This window comes from Homo sapiens, chromosome 5 (genome assembly GCF_000001405.40).
Source record: "Homo sapiens chromosome 5, GRCh38.p14 Primary Assembly".
NCBI lineage: Eukaryota > Metazoa > Chordata > Mammalia > Primates > Hominidae > Homo > Homo sapiens.
In genome coordinates this window covers 69,949,469-69,963,772 of record NC_000005.10, presented here as the reverse complement: position 1 = coordinate 69,963,772, position 14,304 = coordinate 69,949,469, and the positions used below count along the sequence as shown (strand labels likewise).

The window sequence follows — 14,304 nt, the reverse complement described above, 5'->3', positions numbered from 1 at the left end:
TACTTTAAAGAACTAAAATTGGAAACAAAGAGTGGAGAATTATTTCTTCCCTTTCTCTTCCCTTCATCCTCATTCTAGCACCAGTCATACCTGACCATGATTTTTAAAGAGTATAAATTACTCCTCTTCTCAGAGGTAGAAATACACAGAAAAATACACAAAAACCAAATTCTGTCAAAATATATTTAAAGAGGTTTATTCAGAGCCAGTATAAGTGACCAAGGCCTGGGTTACACTATCTCAAGAGGTTCTGAAAGCGTGCCCAAGGCAACCGGGTTACACTTTGGTTTTATACATTCCAAGGAGACAACCAACTGCAGGTAATTGCAGGTAGGTCAGGGTAGGAGCTTGTACGTCATAAGGGGCTTTTAGGGATCCTTTAGTTGACAATTGGTTGAGAGAGTTATGCTATCGTCTAAAGTCTTGAAATCGATAGAAAGGAATGCCTGAGTTCAGATAAGAGTGGGGGAAAGACCAAGGATCTTATTAAGTAGATGAAGCCTCATAGGTGGCCCTCAGAGAGAATAGATGGTAAATGTTTCTTTTCAGACCTTTAAAGGTATCAGACTCTCAATCACTCCTAGGTCCTGGAAAGGCATAGAAAGGGGAAGCATGGCTGCATTAATGAAGATTCTCCATAGATGCAAATTTCCTCTACCTCAGTTTGCTGGCCTTGCAACAGCCATTTCAAAAGACATCAAAGAAATATATTTTAGGGCAAAATATTTTTATATCCTTCAGGGTCTGCTGTCTGTTATGTGATGCTGTACCAGAGTCAGGTTGGAAAGCAAGCCACATTATATAGGGTTAATAAAAAACCCATGTAAAGAGATGTTATCATTCGTAGGGCTGACTCCCAGTTTCTTTAAATAGGAATTTGGGCAAGATGAAAAAAAAAAATCAGAATTTAGTCCTCAACTCAAATATTTTATTCATTCAAACGCTTATTCAAACTACCGAATCCTCCAATAACAGAAAGTATAGTGTCCATCCTGAAGACTTTCATCCCATCTCACAGCATGTTTTCTCCTAGTACACCCTGATTGTCCAAGGACTTCTGAGAACACCATTCCAGAAGAGGTCATGATCTCAACAACTGTCACAGAAAGAAAGAATACAGGAAGACAAGATGCGAAAGTTATGTCAGTGGCTTTCATTCATCACACCACTACGTACTGGTTCTCTAGTACTGTGCTGTTATGATCCTCCTGACTTTTACCCTGTGAATATCCTAGTGCTTTTATATCAGTCTCACATCCTCAACACGCTGGTTTCCATAAAAACGCAACCAAGTCAGATGGCTGTGATCTGGTGGGATTCTAGTTCCATTTGCAGCCTCCAAAGCAGTCTTTTACCTAAGAACACTCAGGCCTCCAAGGTTAAGATAACAGTATACTCCAATGCAAAATTCTCTACCTCCCTACTTCAGGTCCCAGGGACTCTCAACTGCCAGTCACTCTTTGAACAATAAGAACAGACACTTAAATGATGATAACTAATGGCAGCAGCACTAATGTAAGAACGCTGGAACTATTAGTACTCTCATCTTCCAGATGAGAGAACTCAATAACATGATTTACATAAACTGCCTGAAGATACAGTAGAATAATAATAATGAAATCCAGGCATTGTGGACCTGAATGCTGCTACCTAGCTACTCCTCTTTGTGGCTTCTCCATTGTCTTTTCCTGCCAGTTCAGTTCTAACAGGAATAAACAGACGCTATTCAAAAGCTTTTCAAGTCTGAATGAAGATGTACCTAGGGTTGGTGTTGATGAACTTTCCCTCACTCTTCCTTAAGGAAATTTGTTCTTTCCTGCCATTTGAGAGACATGTTCTTCCTCTTCTTCTTCAAAGAGCTAAAATGCACCTTTATTTGCATAATGAAGATAGTGCAGTGAAGTACTTTCTTGCATTGTCAAGGAAATGAGCTCCAAAGGAACTTCCTTTTAGCATAGAGAAAGCTGCTGTTTTTATTTACTTGCATTTTGCATATGAATATATTTTAATTTAGTTTCAACAGGTAACTGAATTAGAAAGTGAAATTATAAAGTCATTTCTCCAAGAAAGAAGGTAGAGCTTATAAATATTAGTAATCTTAGCTGGGCACGATGACTTACGCCTGTAATCCCAGCACTTTGGGAGGCTGATGCGGGCCAATCACCTGAGGTCAGGAGTTTGTGACCAGCCTGGCCAATATGGTGAAACCCTGTCTCTACTAAAAGTACAAAAATTAGTCTCTACTAAAAATACAAAAATTAGCCATATGTGGTGGCACGTGCCTGTAATCCCAATTACTTGGGAGGGTGAGGCAGAAATTGCAGTGAGCTGAGACTGCACCACTGCACTCCAGCTTGGTGAACAGAGTGAGACTCCGCCTAAAAATAAATAAATAAATAAATAAATATTAATAATCTTTTAAAGAAATGATTGTGGCTATTTCTAGGTCTAATGATACTTGCTTAATCGTATTGAAAACAATGTTATTTCTTTGAATGGCAATGGAATGTAAAATATTTAAAAACGCAATTTGACTTTTTTTACTTTTTAAAATTTATGTAGCTGGGCCGGGCACCCTGGCTCATGCCTGTAATCCCAGCACTTTGGGAGGCTGAGACTGGAGGATCACAAGGTCAGGAGATCGAGACCATCCTAGCTAACACGGTGAAACCCCGTCTCTACTAAAAACACAAAAAAATTAGCTGGGCGTGGTGGTGGGCACCTGTAGTACCAGCTACTCGGGAGGCTGAGGCAGGAGAATGGCATGAACCTGGGAGGTGGAGCTTGCAGTGAGTTTGAGATTGCTCCACTGCACTCCAGCCTGGGTGACAGAGCGACACTCTGTCTCAAAATAATAATAATAATAATAATAATAAATAAAATAAAATTTATGTAGCTGATATATTACTATAACCTCACTTGCATTTTTAAATTATTTTACTGGTTCTCTCTTTTTACTTTTATCTTACCTATGCTGTATTTGAAGTTAGTTTTATATAGACAGAATTTTAAAAATTATTTATTTATGGGGTACAAATGCAATTTGGACAATATTGTTGGCCATGGTTTTTCGTTTTTGATTTTTGTTTTTTTAACTACTCTGCCAATCTATGTTTTTTAGTTGGTTTCTATAGGCCTTTTATGTTTAACAATTTGTATGTTGTGGTTGATGTCTACCACTTTGTTATTTGTTTCTGTTTGTTTCTGTTTCTTATTCCTCTGTGTCTTTTTCTTGCTTTCCAATGGGTTACATAAACATGTTAAGTTTCCATCTTAATTTATTTATAGTGTTTTAAATACAATGTTGCATCACTTAATGACAAAAATTACATTCTGAGAAATGCATTAGGCAATTTCTTCACTGTGTAACATCATATAGTGTATTCTATGTGTAAATAGAGATAGCATAACCTACTACTCACCCTAGGTTATGTGGTACAGCCTATTGATCCTAGGCTACAAACCTATACAGCATGTTACTGTGCTGAATACTGTAGGCATCTGCAACACAACGGTAAATATTTGTGTATCTAAACATAAAAAAAGGTACAGTAAAAAATCCAGTCAAAACATCAAAAATGGTATACCTGATTAGGGCACTTACTATAAATGAAGTTTGCAGGGCTAGGAGTTGCTCTGGGAGAGTTAGTGAGTAAGTGGTGAGTGAGCGTAAATGCCTAGGGCATCATTGTACAAAACTGTAGACTTTATAAACACTGAATTTATAAAATTTATAAAGAAACTTATTTCTTTCAAAATACATTAAACTTATCCTACAGTAACTTTTTTACTTTATAAACTTTTTAACTTATTTTTAACTTTTTGACTCTTTTGTAACAACACTTAGCTTAAAACACATATTGTACACAGAAATACTTTATTTCCTTATATCCTTATTCTCTAAGATTTTTTTGTAATTTTACATCTTTTAATTTTTAATTTTTTTGTTGTTGTTGTTAAAAACAAAGACACAAATGCACATACTAGCGTAGGCCTACACAGGGTCAGTATGATCAACATCACTGTTTTCTACCTCCAGATCTTGTCCCACTGGAAGCTCCTCTAGGCCAATAATGCATATGGATCTGTCGACATCTATGATAACAATGCCCTCTGAAATGCCTCGTGAAGGACCACTGTGAGGCTGTTTTACAGTTGCCTATTACTTTTTTTTTTTTTTTTTTTTGAGACAGAGTCTCGCTCTGTCGCCCAGGCTGGAGTGCAGTGGCGTGATCTCGGCTCACTGCAAGCTCCGCCTCCTGGGTTCACGCCATTCTCCTGCCTCAGCCTCCCGAATAGCTGGGAATATAGGCGCCCCCAACCAGGCCTGGCTAATTTTTTGTATTTTTAGTAGAGATGGGGTTTCACCATGTTAGCCAGGATGGTCTCCATCTCCTGACCTCGTGATCTGCCCACCTCGGGCCTATTTCTTTTAATAAGTAGAAGGTGTACACTACAATAACAATAAAAAATATGGTGTAGTAAATACACAAAAATGTAATATATTTGTTTATTATTATTACTAAGTAAAATGTACTTGTATTAGTCCATTCTCACACTACTATAAAGACACTACCCGAGATTGGGTAATTCATAAAGGAAAGAGGTTTAATTGAGTCACAGTTCTGCATGGCTGAGGAGGCCTCATGGAACTTACAATCATGGTGAAATGGGAAGCAGTCATCTTCTTCACAAGACAACAGGAGAGAGAAGGATTGTGTGTAGGAGGAGCTGTGAAACACTTAACAAAACCATCAGATCTCCTGAGAACTCACTCACTATCGTAAGAACAGTATGGCAGAAACCGCCCACATGATCCAATCACCTTCCACCAGATCCTGCCCTCAACACATGGGTATTATGAAGATTACAATTCAAGATGAGATTTGGGTGGGGATATAGAGCCAAAATATATCATTCCACCCCTGGCCCCTCCCAGATCTCACATATTTTTTACATTTCCAACCCAACATCATGCCTTCCTAACAGTCCCCCAGAGTCTTAAATCATTTCAGCAGTAACTCAACAGCCCACAGTTCAAAGTCTCATCTGAGACAAGGCAAGACGTTTTGGCCTATAAGCCTGTAAAATCAAAAGCAAGTTAGTTACTTCCTAGATACCATGAGGGTACAAGAATTGGATAAATGCTCCCATTCCAAATGGGAGAAATTAGTCAAAACAAAGGGGATGCAGGCCCCATGAAAGTCTGAAACCCAGCAGGGCAGTCATTAAAACTTAAAGCTTTAAAATAATCTCCTTGTCTCCATGTTTCACATCCAGGGCATGTTAATGCAAGAGGTGGGCTCCCATGGCCTTGGGCAGTTCCTTCACAGGCTGGCATTGAGTGTCTGTGGCTTTTCCAGGTGCACAGTACAAGCTGTTGGTGGATCTTCCATTCAGGGGTCTGGAGAACAGTGGCCCTCTTCTCATAGCTTCACTAGGCAGTGCCCCAGTGGGGAATCTGTGTGGGAGCTCCAACCCCACATTTTCCTTCTGCACTACCCTAGCAGAGGTTCTCCATGATGGCTCCACCCCTGCAACCAATCTCGGCCTGGACATCCTGGCATTTCCATACAACCTATGAAATCTAGGCAGAGGTTTCCACACCTGAATTCTTGACTTCTGTGTACCCTCAGGCCCAACACCATATGGAATCCTCCAAGGCTTGGGGCTTGCACCCTCTGAATCAACAGATGAGCTGTACATTGGCTCCTTTTAGCCACGGCTGGAGCTGGAGTAGCAGCAGCTGGGACACAGGGCACCAAGTCCTGAGGTTGCCCAGAGTAACGGGGCCCTAGGCCCAGCCCATGAAACCATTTTTCCCTCAGAGGCTGCTGGGTCTGTGATGAGAAGGGCTGCCATGGAAGTCTCTGATACGCCCAAGAAAAATTTTGCCATTGTTTTGGCTACTGTAATAACATTTGGCTTCTTGTTATTTAGGCAAATTTCTGTAGCCAGCTTGAATTCCTCCCCTGAAAAATGGGTTTTTCTTTTCTACTGCATGGTCCGGCTGCAAATTTTCCAAACTTTTATGCCCTGCTTCCATTTTAAACATAAGTTCCAATTTGAGATAATGTTTCTCAAATTAAAAGTTCCACAGATCTCTAGGACAGGGGCAAAATGCTTCCAGTCTCTTTGCTAAGGCAGAGTAACAGTGATCTTTGGGCTCTAGTTCCTAATGAGTTCTTGTCCATCCAAGACCACCTCAGCTTGGACTTCACTGTCTATATCACTATCAGCATTTTGGTCAAAACCATTCCACAGGTCCCTAGGAAGTTTCAAACTTTCTCACAACTTCCTGTCTTCTTCTGAGCCCTCCAAACACTTCCAACCTCTGCCCGATACCCAGTTCTAAAGTCACTTCCTCATTTTCAGTATCTTTATAGCAGTGCCCCACTCCCAGTACCAATTTACTCTATTAGTCTGTTCTCACACTGCTATAAAGATACTACCCAAGACAGGGTAATTTATAAAGGAAAGAGGGTTAATTGACTCATAGTTCTGCATGGCTGGAGAGGCCTCAGAAAACTTACAATCATGGTGGAATAAAAGCAGTTGGCTTCTTCAAAAGGCAACAGGAGAGAATGAGTGTGTCTAGGAGAAATTTTCAAACACTTTTAAAACCATCGGATCTCATGAAAACTTACTCACTATCATGAGAACAGCATGAGGGAAACTGCCTCCAGGATCCAATCACTTCCCACCGGGTCTTGCCCTTGACACGGGAGGATCATGAGGATTACAATTCAAGATGAGATTTGGGTGGGGACACAGCCAAACAATATCAGTACTAGACAGAATTTTATGTGCTACACTTTTATATAACTGGCAATGAAGTAGGTTTGTTTACACCATCATTGCCACAAACAGGTGAGAAATATGTTAGACTATGATGTTAAGACAGCTCAGCTGCAATGTCACTAGGTAATATTCATCTCCATTATAATCTTATGGGACCACCATGATATATGCAGTCTACTGCTGAGCAAAACATCGTTATGCAGTGCATGATTGTACATGATTTTGTTTGGTTTTATTAATTGCACTGGTTAAAATAATATATGTGTAATGTCAAGATCTACTGTTAATGATGTTTTACCTCTTTGAGTGAAGTGTAGAAAACTTGTTTCCATATGAGTCTCTTTACTATCACTACTTTTTAGATATAATTATCTTAAATACTTCCTCTATGTTCCTTGAGCATCTAACCAGATAGGTCATTAATTTTTGCTTCAACTATTAGAAATGGCTTAAAAACTCAAGAGAAGTTTGATTATACATTATATTTATGCTTAATTTTACCCATTTAGATGGATGTTTGTAAAAGCTGCAAACCTTCTTCTTTTATCATTTCTTTTCTGTTTAGAGAACTTATTCTTTAAAGGTAAGTTTGTTAGCAACACATTACCTTAGCATTCTTTCATTAGACAATGTTTTCTATGTCACTTTAGTGCCTGAAGAATATTATTGCTGGGTATTGAATTTACAGTTCACAGTTCTGTTCTTTCAGTACTTCAAAAATATTATCTGTTTCCTTCCAACCTTCATGGTTTCAGATGGAAAATCTGCTGTGGTTTACATTATTGTTTTTCTGTAAGAAATGTGCCATTTTTCTCTGTTTGCTTTCAAGATTTTTAATTTTTTTTTTTCATTTCCAGAAATTGAATGTATTTGGGTGTATTCTATTTAGGGTTTGCTCTGTTTCTTGAATATTTAGGTTTATGTCTTCCATCTAATTTGGGAAGGTTGAAGTCATTATTTTTTAATAGTTTTTTAGTCCCACATTCTATCTCCTCGTCTTCTATATCTCCTGTGATTATGAATGTTAGCTCTTTTATTATTGTTCTAAAGTTTCCTGAAATGCTGTTAAATTTTTTTTTATCGGTTTTCTTCTTCTTGTTCAGACAGTAAATTCTGTTGGCATGTTTTCAGATTCACTGATTCCATCTTCTGCTCTGTGCTCTCTTCTTTTGTGACCATCCTCTGCATCTATTATTTCCATTATTGTATTTTAATTTTATTTAGTTCATGTTTACTTTTTATAACTTATAAGTCATTATTGAATTTATTTTTAATTTTAACTTTTATTTGTTCCAAGAGAATACAATATATAATTGCTTATTTAAACACTTTTATGATGGTTTCTTCAAAATCCTTGTTAGATAATTCCAACCTCTTTTTTTTTTTTTTTTTTTTTTTTTTTTTGTCTGAAACAGTCTCACTCTGTTACCCAGGCTGGAGTGCAGCGGTATGATCTTGGCTCACTGCAACCTCCATCTCCCAGGTTCAAGTGATTCTCCTGCCTCAGCCTCCCAAGTAGCTGGGATTACAGGCATGTGCCAATGCACCCAGCTAACTTTTTATATTTTTAGTAGAGGCGGGGTTTCACCATGTTGGACAGGCTGGTCTTGAACTCCTGACCTCAAGTGATCCACCCATCTTGGCCTCCCACAGTGCTGGGATTACAGGTGTGAGCCACTGCGCCCAGCCCCAACCCCTTTTTTATGTCTGTGTTGGTGTCTGTTGTCTTTCTCTCATTCAGGTTATGATTTCCTAGTTCTTTTGTCTTATAAGTGATTTTTATTGTGTCCTGAATTTTTTTTTATATTATGAGAATTTTTCTCTCTTATTATTTCGTAGATGGTTCCCTATTGATGTGTAACCTGAGAGCTGGGTGGGTGTGCGTGTTTATCTTCCTGATGGGACCTACTAATACCATCCTACCAAAAGTAGAGTACTAACTTATACTTCCTTCTTGCAGACTGGTTAGGTGGAAGTTTGTCTTCTCCCTCCACCCACTGGCAACCTCATGGCAAAAGTAGGGTACTGAGTTACATATCTTTGTTTCCTCCAAGTGAAAAAATAACCTCACTTCCCTGATGTGGTCCACTGACACCAGGGAGGGGGTGAGTAGGGGCCAACTCATACCACTTGGTTGCTTCCAAGGAGTAGGAGTGGGGAGAAGCTGTGTAAGAACAGAACTGATCATTAAAGACCCTATTATAAATTCTTGCTTTTATAGTACTTATTCTCGTGGCTTAAATATTCCACACCAATTAATCACCACGGAATATATGAGACATTATATTAATTATTAAATTTTACATGGCAACACTAACAATATTAACTCCCATTTTCTATCTCTTTAATTGAGGTCATTCTTTAGAAGTTTAAGTATAATCCATTCTTCTGTCCTACACGACTGAGTGAAAGAGCATGTAGCAGCAACATATAGTACCAGTATGTAATCCTAATGCAATGGCACACCCCAGATGACCCTTTTGTGTATTGGGATTGACCATGGTTTTTCAGTTTAATCAAAGTTTAATTGATTAAACTCGGGGTTCACATTTTCTTTCTACACACCAATATTGAAGAGAAGTACTACAAAATACATAGGAGCACTAAACTGGTAGTAATAAGAAAAACATAAAATATTTAAGATAATGTGTTGCTTTTATTTCTAATATTAGCTACTGATACAATCAAAGCACTGCGGCTCAGTTTTCTCTTTTGTAAGAGGACAAGTTTGTATTAGTTAATCTTTAAATGTCTCTACAATCTGATTCTGAGATTGTGAATAAATAGATCTAAATACTGTTACAGGTATATAAATACAGATATAAATGCAGGTATGGGTAAAATTATGGCTATGGGTCCCAGCCTTAAATTCTTATTTTTTTATAACTAATTGATGTTCAGGGATAGATTTATGTGATCTGCTCATTTGCAGGGGCCCATCACTTGGCTAATTCTTTGGTGTCATTCGTGTCAAGTTTTAAATAATTTTTGAGTAAGATGTCCTATATGTTAATTTTGCACTGAACACTGCAAATTTTGTAGCTGTTCCTGTTAATTTGTTAATGAAATTTCTGTTTAGAAACTATTAAATTAATAAGACAATAATTAAGCAAATAATTATTAAATTTTACATGGTAACACTAGCAATATTAACTCCCATTTTCTATCACTTTAATTCAGGCCATCCTTTAGAGGTTTAAGTATAATCCATTCTTATGTCCTACACAACTGAGTGTGTAGTACCAGTATGTAATCCTAATGTAATGGCACACCCCAGATGACCTTTTTGTGTGTTGGCATGGTTTTTCAGTTTAAGCAAAAGTTTAATTGATTGAAACTTGAAGTTCACATTTTTTTTTCTACACACCAATATTGAAGAGAAGTCCTACAAAATACTTATTCTATGGAAAAAAACAAAGTCCACTTTAGATCTAAAATGGTTGCATAAAATTTTGAGAATAACTTAAATGTTATATGAATGTAAGTAAAAATTTTACTGTAAACTTTGTAATTGCTAACTATAAACAGAAAACAAGTATATCTTATATAAAGAAATGTGTAGACTCTCTGTATTAATCCATTTTCACATTGCTATAAAGAATACCTGCGACAGGGTAATTTACAAAGGAAAGAGGCTTAATTGACTCACAGTTCTGCACGGCTGGGGAGGCCTCAGGGAACTTACAATCATGGTGGAAGGGGAAGCAGGCACGTCTTACATGGCAGCAGGGGAGAGAGAGCATGTGAAGGAGGCACTGTCAAACACTTGTAAAACCATCAGATCTCATGAGAACTCATTCACTATCATGAGAACATCTAGGGGAAACTGTGCCCATGATCCAATCACCTCCCACCAGGCCCCTCAACACATGGGCATTATGGGAATTACGATTCAAGATGAGATTTGGGTGACAGCACAGAGCCAAACCATATCACTCTCTGTGCCTTGTATTTCTCATACTAGTCAATGCCAACTCATTAAAAGTTATCTGGAGATATAACATTTTTGGGGGATTATATATTGCCACTACTGTTATATTTTTGTCAGGATAATGTAGCAATTCCCAAATAAATCATACTTAAACCTCCACAGAAAAGATAAATAGAAATGAGAATTCCATTGCCAGCATTGCTTTGAAAAACGTTTCAGAACTTTGAATATATATACTCATAAACACACACACATACACAGATATATATTTCTGCATGTGTATATACATATATGGATACATATGTTCTTAAACTTTCTTTTAACAGAAAAATTAAAATAGAAGGAAAATAACAGAGCACTAGTTATATAACTAGTATTATATAAATAATGTTATGTAACTAGTTATATAATTAAAAATATAAGAACCTAGGTGAGAATGAGAAAGTCTAGATTTAGATTTACTACTTTTCCTAATACACACCCACACACATATATGTGTGTGTGTGTGTGTGTGTGTGTGTGTGTGTGTGTATACTGTATTTGTCTCATAGTGGCTGGAGCACATTACTACCAACTTAGTGGATTAAAACACCACAAATCTACTATCTTACAGTTCTGCAAGTAAAGACTAAAATAGAGTCACATAGGTGAAAATCAAGAGCTTCTACTCTCTTGAGGCTGCTTGGATTCTTGGCTATAACCCCTTTCTCCATCTTGAAATTCTGTCACTCCAACCTCTGCTTTCATAACACATCTCCCATCTCCTTCCTAACTCGAAGGCATCTTCTCAGTCTTACAAGAACTCCACTTGGGTTCACATTTGGAACACCCAAATAACCCATCTTAATATTCTCATCTCTAGATCCTTAAATAATTGCTTCTACAATGTCCTTTTTGTCATGGAAGGTGACATTTTCACAGGTTCCAGAAATTAGGACGTCGACATTTTAGTAAGCCATTATTCTGTCTACCACAGTGGCCTTGAATAGAAATCCTTCAGTTTTCATATACAGAAACAAAACATTCTTCCAAATGAGGAAGCTAGATTGGGAAAAAAAAAAGTCAGCCACACAGGTCTCCCCATTAAAACTTAAAGATGGTTACATATTTTATTCTGAGTTAAAATGGAGAGTCTTCCTATATAACTCTCTTTCCACTGTATGATTTATCACTTAATAGCTCTCCCTTTCCGTTGTATGATTTGTCACTTAATATCTCTCTCTTACTTGAAGTCAGAGAACAGCAAACAGTTTGCAAAATATATAAATAGTCTATAAGTTGTGGTCCAAATAGTTCTTAGAATTCAGCTACATCTAAGTACACAATTACTTATTTAAGCTTGATTCAGTGAAACAGATTTTCAGTTGAGTTTCTTAATGGGAATGACCAGTCACATTTTTCAAATTTGGCTTTATGCATAAATTGACAAATTATTTATAATTTGAAACATCTGGGCTCATTTTTTAAAAACAACTCATAAAATAAGAAATCATTTTATTGGTTCAAGCACGCATGCTATTAAATGACTCATCTTAATTTTTATCTTTTCATAAATGTTGGAAAATCTCAAGAAACCGTTATGTTGTCCTAAAAATGGGCAAGCAAGGTTAATTTGTTTTTGATGTTTAGATAGTTAGGTTATTTCTCATTTTTCTTTTAGGGATTACGTTGCTATCCTAAAGCTTGACATTGGTTAGAGTCAGCCAATGTCAAATTTTTACCTATAGATAGTCTTAGAAAGATATTGCAAATTAGTGCTGCTTCTAGTAGCTAAAATAACCTGCAGCTAGCTGGCAGGCAGCAGTGAATATTTTAAAAGGTGTACCAAATTACATTTAGATTTTCAGTTCCTTTTGAAGTGAAAAGAATATTCAAAGCTTGGAAGTCTTTGACTCTCATAAGCCTAGTAGATTTCAAGTATAAACATAGATTTAAAGATAGTTTACAGACAAATTGTGGATTTTATGTTATAATCTCAGATTAATGATTTTTTCCTTTTTGTGATTTTTTTCCCAAAGTAATTGTAAAGGACTGTGTGTGTGTGTGTGAGAGAGAGAGAGAGAAACAGAGAGAAAGAAACAGAGATAGAGACATTGTCCAAATGTACACGTAAGATTTTCTGTGACAATTACACATGGATTATCTAGTAACAAGTTGAACTACATGAAGCAATTGTATATCATCAGATATATACTATATGAAACAACTGTGTATAATCAGATTTATACTACATGAAGCAACTATATATAATCAGATTTACACCACTTTCTGAAGAAAACTACAATTAATTGGATACTAAAGTGGTTTCTGAAAGCCTAATTATTCTCAAGTCCATATGTGTGTTTGGTGGGATGGCAGTGAGTTTTTGGAACAAGCTTAACTGTTTTTTGAAATAGTTGTGAACTTCACAAGTTAGATGAAATACATGTCACAAGAAATTTTCCATGTGGAGACAATTTAGTAGTATTTCCACATTTATGTTCAATAAGTGTAAATTATAAAATGATATTTTTGCTCAAAAATAAATGAAAATAACACATTTGAAACAAAAGTAGACTCACCCACCCTCCAGAATGATATCCAAAGACCAAAGGAAGTTTGGCCTTTTTTAGGCATTTGAGACTTGCTTTCAGTAAATCATATCATCATATTTATTTCTATAACTTTTCTTTTTTTTTGAGATGGAGTCTCGCTTTGTCACCCAGGCTGGAGGGCAATGGCGTGATCTTGGCTCAGTGCAGCTTCCGCCTCCTGGGCTCAAGTGATTTTCCCACCTCAGCCTCCCCAGTAGCTGGGATTACAGACGTGAGCCACTATGCCTGTTTATTTATTTATTTATTTATTTTTTAAGTAGAGATGGAGTTTCACCATGTTGGCCAGGCTGGTCTAAAACTCCTGACTTCAAGTGATCCACCCACCTTGGCCTCCCAAAGTGCTGGGATTACAGGCGTGAGCCACTGGGCCCGACCTCTGTAACTTTTTATGTTACTGTTTATCATGAGTACGCACAAAAAACCACTTTTTGAATATCTTTTTCTCAGATATTTAATTATTAAGAACAAGGCAAAAATGTGTATACATTAGGTAAAAACTGCGAAAGCATGTCCAAAGAAGAAATAAAGTTCTGTAAATACTCAGAATCAACAGTTGAATAGGTATTCAGGTTTTCAGAGTTAAAAGCACAAATGCATATTTTAGTCTCTTTTCATTTTATTTTAAATATGACTATCCATAGAATGACTATTGCACAGTTTCATATAACTCCCTTATTTGTGTATTTAGTAACTGAGATTCATTATTTTTTAATTAGTACCTAAATAATTACTAGTAATCTGAAACTAATTTTCTTTTATGAGGGCAAAATGCTTTTTCTTTTAATAGGAAAAAGCAAAAAGGAAGTTAGTTTAAGTATTTTTTAAATAAAAGAAATTGACAAAATAAAAAGCATGTTAAATTTAATTGTAACCCTGATGTATGTAAAACCTTTATTAAAAAGATTTTTCCAAAGTTCTTATTAAGCTTTAATTAGCTATTTGTATATATTACCTTACTGGCATTTTAAAAGTATAATT

General features: G+C 36.7%; 1 annotated feature.

Annotated features, from left to right (window-relative positions):
- Window positions 1,476–2,116: an enhancer, noted in NCBI's record as "NANOG-H3K4me1 hESC enhancer chr5:69257484-69258124 (GRCh37/hg19 assembly coordinates)". NCBI's record gives its function as "activates a minimal SCP1, AML or CMV promoter by ChIP-STARR-seq in primed H9 embryonic stem cells {active_cell/tissue: H9 hESC(primed)}" and the evidence as "EXISTENCE:reporter gene assay evidence [ECO:0000049][PMID:30033119]".